The following is a 12,748-nucleotide window of genomic DNA, read 5'->3' as shown; positions in this document are numbered from 1 at the left end:
GCCACTGTGTCCAGCTAATTTTTAATTTTTTTTTTAGAGATGGAGCCTCACATTGTTGGCCAGGCTGTTGCTGAACTCCTGGCCTCAAGAGATCCCCTCACCTCAGCCTCCCAAAGGCCTTTAGCCACCGTGCCTGACCCTCTTTTGTTTTAAAAACTGAAATGCAATTTTGCCTAAGCGGAAGTCCCTTATGGTGGATCCTGGATGAGCCAGCTGCAGCAGAACATCTGTTGGTAAGTTAAAAGCCCCAGCTGCACCAGGCTCTGGAAGCTGTAGGAGTGGAAGCATCCCAGTAGGCGGAACAGGAATTAGGGAATTGAGGATAACCTCTTTCTCAAACTCCTTGGCTGAAGTGATCCTCCTGCCTCAGCCTCTTTAAAGTACTGGAGTCTCAGGTGTGAGCCCCTCACTGCTCCAGCCACGACAACCTCTTCCAAGTGACTTTGGACCCCTTATATCCTACCCACCCTTTTCTTCCTGATTGTGGTCCCAGGTTCCCACTGCCTGCTCATGCTTCCCTTGAATGCCCCAATGACTTCAGACTCATCATTCCCAGAACTGACCTGAACCTCCACCAAGTCTTTCCCAATGAGATGTAATCTTTCCCTCATTTGATTTTTCCATAGCTGTGTCCCTCTCTGGGGTGCCTATTTCATGCTACTTGTATGGTATCAATTTGAGCTCCTGTCTTTTTCGGCTTGCAGAATGAAAGCTCCTTGTCAGTGTCTTTGTCTTGCTCATTGCTAAACACCCTGAAGCACCTTGCTCCATGCTTTTTGTGCACCCAACACCGTATACGGTAAATAAATGAAAGAATGAACAGATGACTTCTTCAGGTTGCTAGCTCTCGTGGTATCTAGACTTGCCTGTTATTTCTTAGCAATGTAGAAAACCACTTTTGCATTCTATCTGGCCCTGTCAAGAATTCAGGCATCCCTTAGTGAAGATGAGGCAAAAAAAAAAAAAAAAAAAATTATTGCTGCCTTCTCTGACGCTTGTAAACACAGAGTGTAGGGTGTGCTATCAATTGACTTGGAGGAAGTGGAAAAGGAAAGGAAGCCAACGATGTCTCAGGTCATTAAAAGTTACTAAAGAGCAATGGGAGACACAAAACTAACCACTGCAATGAAATGGAAGTTCTGGCTACAAAAAATTTATTTAGGGAAGCCAGATAGGAGATTTAAAGAGAATGAAAAAAGAGGAGAGCTTGCGAGAGAGAAGGCGTTGTCCGAACAGCTAGAGTATTATGACTGGAATACCAGAAAGCTTATGTTGAACAATTTCTGACTACATATTGGTAAAGTCTTTTTTTTTTTTTTTGAGATGGAGTCTTGCTGTCACCCAGGCTGGAGTACAGTGGCGCGATCTCGGGCTCACTGCAAGCTCCGCCTCCCGGGTTCACGCCATTCTCCTGCCTCAGCCTCCCGAGTAGCTGGGACTACAGGCACCCACACCACGCCAGGCTAATTTTTTTGTATTTTTAGTAGAGACGGGGTTTCACCGTGTTAACCAGGATGGTCTCGATCTCCTGACCTCATGATCCGCCCGCCTCGGCCTCCCAAAGTGCTGGGATTATAGGCGTGAGCCACCGTGCCCGGCCAGTAAAATCATTTTTAAATAAAAGGGGCCTCTCTAAGAATTCTGCCTACTGCATCAGAACTAATTTGATTCCTGCAAGTTCTTACCGTTGTTTCTCTTCAGGAATAACTTTTGGGTTGGGCCCTCGTATTGCCAGTTTTTCTTCCTGCTTTTTCCCCAGGCTGACCTGTGGCTTGCCTGAAATGTCATAAAATTCTTCCGGGGGCTCTGTGTTCTCTGATGACCACCTGCAATTACAATCCCAACAAGAGGAATTTACTACAGTACATGGGAAAAAACCCAAGGCTCATGGCATTTAATGACTTTCACCAGTTCTACATTGAATCTGAGAGTGAGCCAGCATTTTGTGCTTGTGCAGAGGAAGCAATAAATGTCAGTAAGCAGTGCATCAAAAGTAGCAACACATTTAAAATGATAAGGAATAAAAAGCAATGTTTAAAGTAGTCAAACTTGCTCTTCTTCACCACAATATATGTCAATATGTTGGTTACCTGCAATTTATAATGACGTATTACAATACATGGAAGAGTAAGTAAGCCAAGTGGCCTGATACTTATCATGAGGTTGGAAGGCTATCATTTGCAGTCATGAAAATGTGTCTGCATTACAGCTTAAGGACCATCCCCTTTCCTTTTTTCAGCTTTTCTAGTAGACTGGTGGACACAGATGACAAGGAGGCGCGTCTTGTCCTCATGTGGTCTACAGTCTGGTAGGAAGACATAACTGACGTCTTATACAAAAGGTCTGAAAGCAGGAAGAAGTAACCAAATGCTTTAATGGAGACAAGGAAGTGAGTCATTCTCAGGTAGGGAGGGTGAGAGCCCAAGGCACAGAGGCACGAGAAAGCACGATGCATTTTCAGAGTGGCGAGTGGTTGGGCGTGCCTATGCAGAGGGTTTATGGAAACATGCCATTGGAGATGGTGCTGGAAAGTCTATACCTTTTGGACTTTGTTTTGGAAAAATAAAAAACAACTGAGGTCATTTCCTTTGGCTTTTAAGACACAAAAGTGAAAAAGTCACATATAAATTTAAAACTATTATAACATGTCATTTACAGCTGAGTGGAACCCTCACTCAGGTGGCGCATCAAGATTGCTGCTTGTCAATACAGACAACTGGGATAACCGAGGCCTCTAAACCAGCCAGAACACTCACGGATTCTGTAGTAGTCAGTCCTCAAGTTTGTTGGTGTGACCCTGAAGGCAGCGCTTCATCCTCTAACTTACCTACGCATCCACACTGGGCTCCATATGAATGGCAGCTGGTCGTCTACTTCACAATTTAACTTGGGATCAAATGTGCTCTTCTGGAAGCTGACTTTAAGGCAGGGAATGTTCAGGGTAGCTGAAATCTGCAGAAGCTGGCAGCCTGGGAGCATGGTGCTTCAATCCAGGGCTGGCCAGCAGCAGTGCTGTGATGGGGGCCCAGGTGCTCTTTGGTGTCCTGAACCATGATTATGTGTTTCTGTTGAGAGCTTATTATATACCAGGCATTGCACTGAGCATTGTTCATGGGTTCTCAGACTTAGTCTTCACAACAGTTCTGTGAGCAATCATCTAGAATCATTCTTGTTTGGATGAGACACTGCAGTTCATAAAGGTTAACTTCTCCTAAGTAATAAGTGGTGGAGCTGGGCCTTGAGCCCAGGTGCTCTGATGTTGTCTCTTATCTTCCTTACTCTGTCAGAACTTGACTTCAGTAATGGCGTTAGAGAGACATATTAGTGTCAGGTGTAAATACCCACCGAGAGGCAGTGTGGTGCAGGGATCGGGGACATGGACTGTGGAGTCAGTCTATCCAACACACGTGGGTTTGATCCTGGCCCCAAACCTCCCCTGTGTGGATGAATAAATGACCTAACTCTCCAACCCTCTGTGTTCGCATCTGTAAGGTGCTGGTAACAGCCACACGTCCCGTAAGCATGAGATGATATCACATCTACAAAACTCCTGGCACACGGCATCCTCTCAATGTTAGCTGTGATTATTATCCACAAGGAGTTATGTGAGAATGTTCCTCCAGTGGGATATCTGTGATTTACCTATTAGATATTAGTTAAGCCAAAATAAATGAATCTAGGCCAGGTGTGGTGACTCACACCTGTAATCTCAGCACTTTGGGAGGCCGAGGCAGGCAGATCACTGGAGATCTGGAGTTTGAGACCGGCCTGGCCAAAATGGTGAAACTTCATTTCTACTAAAAATACAAAAATTAGCTGGGTGTGGTGGCCCATGCCTGTAATCCCAGCTACTTGGGGGGCTGAGACAGGAGAACTTCTTGAACCCAGGAGGCAGAGGCTGCAGTGAGCTGAGATTGTGCCACTGCACTCCAGCCTGGGCAACGCAGCAAGATTCTGTCTCCAAAAAAAAAAAAAAAGAATCTAAATGATAGAAGTTTTAAGACTCTGTATTCAGTTTTTAATTAAGTCATACTGAAATACCTGCTTGATTGTATGAAATTCAAATAATACAGATAGAGTCGAGTTGTCTTTAGTCACCTCCATGGAATTTGACTTTTCGTCAGTTTCACGGGGAGCCCTGACAAAGAGCAGAGCGGCCTTCTCTTAGCATCTGGAAATTTCCCACGTAGCCTGCGGCCTGCGTCTTGGGGACCTTTCTAGCTTATGGCTCCAGGATCCTCCTCCCGCCACTCCTATTGACAGCATGACTGGGAATCACAGGTGGGAGGAAGGAGATGCCGGGTAGAGCAGAGAAGCACGAGATCCAGGGAGGCAGATTCCAGCTCTGCTCTGACCCAACTGGCTGTGTGATTGGAGCCCTCACTTAATGATTGTGAAATGAGGGTTTGTAACTAGAGAATTGTCAGGGCCATTTTCAAAGAGTCATTTTGCTCGACCCCCTCATGTGGTCACGGCTCACTGCAGCCTCGACCTTCTGGGCTCAAGCGATCCTCCCACCTCAGCCTCCCAAGTTCCTGGATCTACAGGTGCATACCACCACACCTCGCTAATTTTTGTATGTTTTGTAGAGACGGGGTCTTGCCGTGTTGGCAAGCCTGGTCTCAAACGCCTGGCCTCAAGTGATCTGCCCACCCCAGATGCAGGAATGGTGAGCCACATCCACAGTGCCCAGGCTCACATACTTGGTACATACTTGGTAAATGGCAGAGTGAAGGCTGGAAAGAACCCCTTCCTGCTAGTTCTCCTGGCTTGAACATCTGTAGCACGTGAGTCGTGAATGCTTTGCTTTGCTCTCTCATCCAGTTTCTCATAAATGGGAGCCATTTAAAGCTCTGAAATTATCTCGTTCTAACAGTCCGAATCTCCTCTTGGGGACTAGCAGAGTGGTTCCAGGTGTGAATGGGGGTATACGTGATAGTGAATATCCCAGTGTGGAAAGACACAGGGCATGAGAGTACCCACCATCCGCAGCTGTCCTGTCACAAGTGTCCTTCGGCTTGTGCCCGGGTGGGAGGTGGCCCTCCCCAGCCATGGCTGCTGTGGGCTGCTAATCAAAGCCTTAACTGCTGCCGGTGGGAACGGCGGCCACCTGTGTGGGCCCAGCCCCTGCTGTCTTTCTCACTCCGCTGGCCACTGTCACCCTTTCTACCTTCAGTTGGGGACCTTGGCAACAGCCTTGCCCAGGAAGAAATCCAGGGGGGATTCCTAGTATCTCTGCACCTCATGGGGATGGAAATCACTTTAACATCTGCCAAGGATTTGGGATTATTGCTGGAGTGCAGTATTCTAATTCTCTCATGAACATGTGCTCCTAGCCTGAATTCCAGGGCCCCTGTCAGCCTGTCTACTCAAGAGGTGCTCTTTTCTGCCTGTCCTGGCTTGACATTGGTTTATAAAGGTTGCTTTTCCCTCAAATTGGTGGAAGCTTCTGCTTCTACTTAACTGTTATATATTTTTTCTTTTTCTTTCATTTTTGTTTCTTTGAGACGGTCTTGCTCTGTCACCTGGGCTGGAGTGCAGTGGCGTGGTTATGGCTCACTGCAGCCTCGACCTTCTGGGCTCAAGCGATCCTCCCACCTCAGCCTCCCAAATTCCTGGATCTACAGGTGCATACCACCACACCGCGCTAATTTTTGTATTTTTTGTAGAGACTGGGTCTTGCCATGCTGGCCAGCCTGGTTTCAAACTCCGGGCCTCAAGTGATCTGCCCACCCCAGCCTTCCAAAATGTTGGGATTACAGGCATGAGCCACTGTGCCCAGCCTGCTTTTTTCTTTTATACTCGCTTGGTGGTCTGCCCTCCTGTAGCCTCAGCTGAAGCCTCTTCCTGGCCAATTTAGAGCCATAGTGCCTCTGTTTAACCCAGAAGACAAACTCAGCCTTTGGTGTGTATGTCAGCAATAAGTCCAGAAATGTCCTCCTCCCCCCTCCCTCACAAGGAATAACTCTTCAGGGAAGGACTTTCAGAAAAAAACCCCAGCATCTGAATTGCCCTGAGGGCTGTGGTTCTGTGCTGTTCTCTGGGCTCTGCCACCAAATACAGCAGCTGAGTGACCTATCACTGAGAAAGACACAGTTCATAAGACTAAGAGAGAAAGGTGAGGGTAAAGGGCCTTCTGTCGCTCCTGAGGGGGAATCAGAGGAGAGAATGAGGAAAACAGATGGCTGTGAATAAACAACCAGAGAAGAGCCTTGAGGTTGCTAGATTCGGGTCAAGGTGTACGACTTCCCGTAAGTCACTGAAACTTCTTGTTTCTTCCTTTACTCTGTGGCAGGAGAGGGTTAGGTTAAAGGGCCTCCTCTGGAAAAAGCATTCCATTAGCAAACCATGTCTCCACAGCGTTAGAGGCCAGGGTCATGGCCACAGAATCTTAGCCATGGTCCCTGTTCTCAGGGTATTTGTGATCTTAGAGAGACAAGTGCATGGACTGGTGGTGGGGATAAGTCCATTGTGTTGGATTTTGTGCCGACTCGAAGGTCTTATTTCTTTTACAGTATATATTTGAAGTGTGCAGCATGGCATTTTGCAGTACATATCCATAGTGAAATGAATACTACAGTCAAGCAAATTAACATATCCATCTCCTGACAGTTACCTTTGTGTGTGTGTGTGTGTGTGTGTGTGTGTGGTGAGAACACCTGAAATCTACACTCTTTGCCAATTTCCAGCATTCAATACAGTGTTATTAGCTACGGTCAGCATGCTTATTTCAACCACAGGGATTTAGAAAGGGATGATAGTAGTGGTCTGGGAAGCTTTGAGGAGGAGGGAATAGCTTGGAAGGATGGTTAGAATGTGAGTAGGGGAGGGGAGAAGGGAAACATCCAGGTACAAGGAGCAGAGAATAAAGACGGGAGCACAGCGTGCCTGTGGGACCTGGATGAGCCTTGGAGCAGAGGCATCTGTTGGAAGAAGTAGCTGAATAGATTGGATGGGCCTGTGAAACGAGGCCCTAAAAGCCACTGGGTTCCTCCCTCCCTCCCTCCCTGTTTTAGAGGTTTAGAGATAAAACTGGTGAAATTAAAAGGGACCAAAAAAGCAGTGGTTCTCAATCCTGGTGGCACATGAGAAAATTAAGGATGCTGGACTCATTCTCCAGAAATTCTCATGTAATTGGTCTGGAAAGGGGATCTAAATGTAGTTTCCTTCCTTCCTTCCTTCCTTCCCTCCCTCCCTCCCTCCTTCCCTCCCTCCCTTTCTCCCTCCCTTCCTCCTTTCTTTCCTTTTATTCTTCTTTCGATCCTTCCTCTTTCTCTTTCTGCAGAGCAGCAATCAAAATGGAAAAGAAATGAACATAAAGAGATTTGTTTTGTTTTGTTTTTTGAGATGGAATTTCACTCTTGTTGCCCAAGCTAGAGTGCAATGGCATGATCTCAGCTCACTGCAACCTCCACCTCCCAGGTTCAAGTGATTCTCCTGCCTCGGACTCCTGAGTAGCTGGGATTACAGGTGCATGCCACCACGCCCAGCTAATCTTTTGTATTTTTAGCAGAGACAGGGTTTCACTATTTTGGCCAGGCTGGTCTTGAACTCCTGAACACAGACAATCTGCCCGCCTCGGCCTCCCAAAGTGCTGAGATTACAGGCATGAGCCACCGTGCCTGGCCAAAGAGATGTTTTAAGGGGAAAAAATGCTAGCTATCTTGAATAATGAAACATAGCTGAATTAAAGAAGAGATTCTATTCATTTCTTTAAAATATTGGTTGAGCACTTACCATATGCCTCACACCGAATCAAGCTAAGGAAAATCAGAGGTTAAGACCTTTGTCCTGTCTTCAAGGAGTTTATATGTAATAGGTGACAAAATAACCACAATATGAGAAGAATATGAAAGCTGACTTAAGGGTAATTTTTTAAAAAGGTGTAAAGATATAGAGAATAGAGAGACAGAGGTTCCCTCTTGAGGAGAGAGTGAAGGACACTCTACAGAGGTACCACTTAGCTGCAGTTTGAAGCCTGGGGAGGTTTTTGGCAGGGGAGGTGGGGGAAGGGACCCTCACATGACAGTCATCACTAGGTGTAAGAGAAGCCATAAAAATGACTGGGGGCGGCTGGGTGCAATGGCTCACGCCTGTAATCCCAGCACTTTGGGAAGCCGAGGCAGGCGGATCACAAGGTCAGAAGTTCAAGACCAGCTTGACCAACATGATGAAATCCCGTCTCTACTAAAAATACAAAAATTAGCCGGGCATGGGGTGGTGAGTGCCTTTAATTCCAGCTACTTGGCAGGCTGAGGCAGGAGAATTGCTTGAACTCAGGAGGCGGAGGTTGCAGTGAGCCAAGACGGGGCCACTGCACTCCAGCCTGGGCAATAAAGTGAGACCCTGTCTCAAACAAGCAAAATGACTGGGTGCAATGAATAGCAGAATTAGTGCATAGTGACAAACAGCCTTATCCCTAAGAAGCATGAGGTGTATGGAAGGGTTGGTGGAGAAGGTGGATTAGTGCCAGAAAAGGTTAGAAAGGTGAGTTTATTTTTAAAACTGTTAACTAAAAAAAAGTTAACAATATTTTATTTTATTTTATTTTATTTTTTTTAAGACAGGGTCCCACTCTGTCACCCAGGCTGGAGTGCAGTGACATGATCTTGGCTCACTGCAACCTCTGCCTCCTGGGTTCAAGCGATTCTTCCTGTCTCAGCCTCCCAAGCAGCTGAGAGTACAGGCACATGCCAATTTTTGTATTTTTAATAGAGATGGGATTTTGCCATGTTGGCCGGGCTGGTCTTGAACTCCTGACCTCAGGTGATCCACCCATCTTGGCCTCCCAAAGTGCTGGGATTACAGGTGTGAGCCACTGTGCCCAGCCTATTTCTTGACCTTAGTGGTGGTTATATGGATGTCTGTAAGTATTGCTTTAAATATGCATATAAGATTTATAAACTTTATTCATGTAAGTTATATTTCACTGTTTAAAAATGTTTAAGGAACAGTATAAAATCAAAATAATCATCATAAACATATAACACCTACCAATACAATCTTGAGCTATATCAGATACATAGAAAAAATTCAAAAATTAACAGTTGCATTTGGAAATGTTTATTCATTGATATGAATGGGCAAAAATACAATTAAAAATATATGGCCAGGTGTGGTGGCTCATAACTGTAATCCCAGTACTTTGGGAGGACAAGGTGGGCAGATCACTTGAGACCAGGAGTTTGAGATCAGCCTGGACAACATGGTGAAAACCCATCTTTACTAAAAATACAAAAATTAGGCATGGTGGCACGGACCTGTAGTCCCAGGTACTTGGGAGGCTGAGGCATGAGAATTGCTTGAACCCTGGAGGTGGAGGTTGCAGTAAGTCAAGATCATGCCTGGGTGACAGAGCAAGATTCTGTCTCAAATATATATATATATATGTGTGTGTGTGTGTGTGTGTGTGTGTGTGTGTACACAACACAAACAGAAAACATTCTTTTGATTATACCTAAAACATCTGCAATAATAGATCACATATTAGGCCATAAAGGAAGTTTCAGTAAGTTCCAAGGAATCAATCCCATTCTGACAATGTTTTCCAACTACAATGCCATCACAGAATTAATATTTTTTAAAAGATGGCTAAAATAAAGTCCTGCTTATTCAGAAACTAAATAGCACACTATTAAATAACATTTGGACTAAAAAAAATAGAACTGAATAAAATACTACATGATTGAATTTGTACACATCTAAAGCAGTACTTAAAGGCAAATTTATAGTCTTAAATACATTAATTAACAAAAAAGTTAAAAACAAATGAGGTTTCCTAATAAGATATTATCTCACACCCACTAGGATGGCAACTATAAAAAAATCAGAAAATAACAAGTGTTTTGAGGATCAGCTTAACTTTTAAATTAGGTACTATCCGCATATGATAAAATGCACACATTTTAGAAGTCTGATTTTTTAAGGTCTTGAATGCCCAGGTAAGGGATTTGGATGGCTGGAGGTCATACAATACAGTAAACAGTTTAACAGACAGCCGGGGGCTGTGGCTCACGCCTGTAATCCCAGCACTTTGGGAGGCCGAGGAGGGCAGATCACGAGGTCAAGAGATCAAGACCATCCTGGCCAACGTGGTGAAACCCAGTCTCTATTAAAAATACAAAAAATTAGTGTGGTGTCACATGCCTGTAGTCCCAGCTACTCAGGAGGCTGAGGCAGGAGAATCGCTTGAACCCAGGAGACAGAGTTTGCAGTGGGCCAAGACTGTACGCCACTGCACTCCAGCCTGGTGACAGAGCGAGACTCTGTCTCAAATAAAAAACAAAAAACAGACTTGGCATTGAATTACAGTTTAGTCATTTGCTCACTATGTAATCTTGGACAAATGACTTGAGCCTCAGGGCCTTATTTCCTCATCTCCAATGGTGACAGGAATACACCCCTGGGGAATGTAGAAAAGGATCAAATAAAGTATTGTGTGCAATGTATACCTCTTCTTGGATATTTGACTTCATGGAATGCATCTTTTCCTTAAAAAAACCTGATTGAGGCCCTTATTGTAGAAAACACCTGGTAGTTGGTGCCTCTGTTTTATCTTCCAACTCTGGTCTCCATCCTGAACACTGTAACCAAGTTAGGCTCTGTTCAGCATTGCTTTCACCATTCTGTTCCTTCCACAAAAGCTTTTGGCGAGTCCCCACTGGCCTGAGGTGAAAATCTGAATGCTTTACATTAGAGTTCAAGGCCTTCTGAAGTCTGTCCTCAATCTGCTTTGCCACTCTCTGCTCCTCTATATTTGTAGTTTTATTTTATTTATTTTACGACAGTGTCTCACTGTCACCCAGGCTGGAGTGCAGTGGTGCCATCTCGACTCACTGCAGGCTCTGCCTCCAGGATTCAAGCGATTCTTATTCCTCAGCCTCCAGAGTAACTGGAATTACAGGCGCGCACCACCACACCTGGCTAATTTTTGTAATTTTTTTTAGTAGAGACGGGGTTTTACCATGTTGGCCATGCTGGTCTCGAACTCCTGACCTCAGCCCGCCTTGGCCTCCCAAAGTGCTGGGATTACAGGCCTGAGCCACCATACCCGGCCTAATTGTAGTTTTAAAACTCTTAAATTCTCTATAAAATCTGATGTGGCAAAAAACAAACAAACAAATGAAAAGAAAAAAAAACCACCCAAACTCTTAAAGTTACAGAACCCAGAGCTCTTTGTTCAAATGGAATCTCTTGTTCAAAAACATTGTAGCTCCATCCATCAGGCAGATGAGAGTGAAGCTTTTGGTTGAAGCCGGGATGAGGGTCCCAGATTGACTTCCTCTCCCCTCCCATTTCCTCCTTTCCATTCCTACCTGCTTAGTTCCCCGAGATGAGTCTCTTCAGGATATTGTTTGAAACCCATTGCCTTCCGGGAATGTCCTTAGGTAGAAATAGGTCCTCTCTCCTCAAGGAACAAAGGGGTCACTGAACTCCATGTGTGTTACCCTCCACTGGGCCTCTCGCCTGACCCTCCTCTGGTGGTTTGCTCATCAGTCAGGGACCCTGCCTCATAAAAGGCCCCCTCTGTGATGTAATGTTAACATGCTCAGCTACGCCTCTGGCATGAGTACAACAGCAATTTTAATCATATGCCTTTTTGTAGCAGCCTTTAAGCAGCCAAGGGTATCGCAACAAATCACAGCCCCGTGAAAACAGTTTTAACAGGGGACTGTCTGATGTGGTACAAGCATTCCCTTGGTCTGATTTCACCTAGAAAATGTTGTGTCAAGAGCAGTGGTTTTCAAACCTGCAGATGGGGCCTTGGAACTTGTGTTTGCAGATAATCCCCTGAGTTCAGAATCAGTAGTATGGGCACTAGAAAACAGCTAAGGAGAATGGAAATTTCTAGTTGAGTGCAGGGGTGCAGGGAGGATGGTACACTCAGAGACGAGAATATGTGCTGTACTTCGTGTGGATATTTTCTCACATGAAGGAACAGAAGAGTGGAAAGTGCAGAAGAAGTAGGTTTTCAGGGGGTTGTCTTGCTTTCGGTTTTGAGCAGATGGAGTTTAAAACAGCCATGGGCCAATGAAGTGCAGATTTCCAGCAGGTAGTTGGAAATTTGAGTCTGGGACTCAAGAGTGAAGTGAGGGGTGAGCTGATAAAACAGAATCATCTGTATGAAGGAGAGAGTTGAAGGTGTAAAATGAGTGAGTTTTTTAAGGAAGAGAGGAGAGCCTTGTGAAATGCCTATGTTTAGTTTCCAGAGGAAGAGAGTAGAGTGAGTAAAGGAGGTGGGAGATGTGGCCAGAAAGGAACAACAGAAGTTCACCTGCCAACTCACAGGGAGGGAAGAGCTTCTAGGAGGAGGAGGTGGGTGGGTGGCCAATGGGGTGTGATATGGTTAGGCTTTGTGTCCCTATCCAAATCTCATTTTGTCTTTTTTCTTTTTTTTGAGATGGAGTCTCATGCTGTTGCCTAAGCTGGAGTGCACTGGTGCGATCTCTGCTCACTGCAACCTCCGCCTCCCAGGTTCAAGAGATTCTCCTGCCTCAGCCTCCAAAGTAGCTAGGATTACAGGCACCTGCCACCACACCCAGCTAATTTTTGTATTTTCTCTACAGATGGGGTTTTGCCATGTTGGCCAGGCTGGTCTTGAACTCCTGACCTCAGGTGATCCACCCACCTCGGCCTCCCAAAGTGCTGGGATTGCAGGCGTGAGCCACTGTGCCCGGCCAAATCTCATTTTGAATTGTAATCCTCAGATGTCAAGGGAGAAAAGTAATTGAATGATGGGAGTAGTTTC

The 12,748-nt window shown here is 45.4% G+C and overlaps 1 protein-coding gene across 1 annotated transcript in view; it reads right to left on the bottom strand.

Annotated features, from left to right (window-relative positions):
• The window catches only part of CDYL (chromodomain Y like), a 249,407-nt gene extending 237,978 nt beyond the window's left edge, over positions 1 to 11,429 (bottom strand). The window contains exons 1-2 of the mRNA NM_001368125.1: positions 11,316 to 11,429; positions 1,686 to 1,826 (exon numbers count right to left, since the gene is read on the bottom strand). Of these exons, the coding sequence (NP_001355054.1) occupies positions 1,686 to 1,788 (103 nt within the window). The 5' untranslated portion in view covers positions 1,789 to 1,826; positions 11,316 to 11,429. The remainder of the gene's footprint in view (positions 1 to 1,685; positions 1,827 to 11,315) is intronic.
• Positions 11,430 to 12,748: the final 1,319 nt, after the last annotated feature.

Source organism: Homo sapiens, chromosome 6, assembly GCF_000001405.40.
Source record: "Homo sapiens chromosome 6, GRCh38.p14 Primary Assembly".
Taxonomy (NCBI): domain Eukaryota; kingdom Metazoa; phylum Chordata; class Mammalia; order Primates; family Hominidae; genus Homo; species Homo sapiens.
This window is presented reverse-complemented; position numbering and strand designations above follow the sequence as displayed.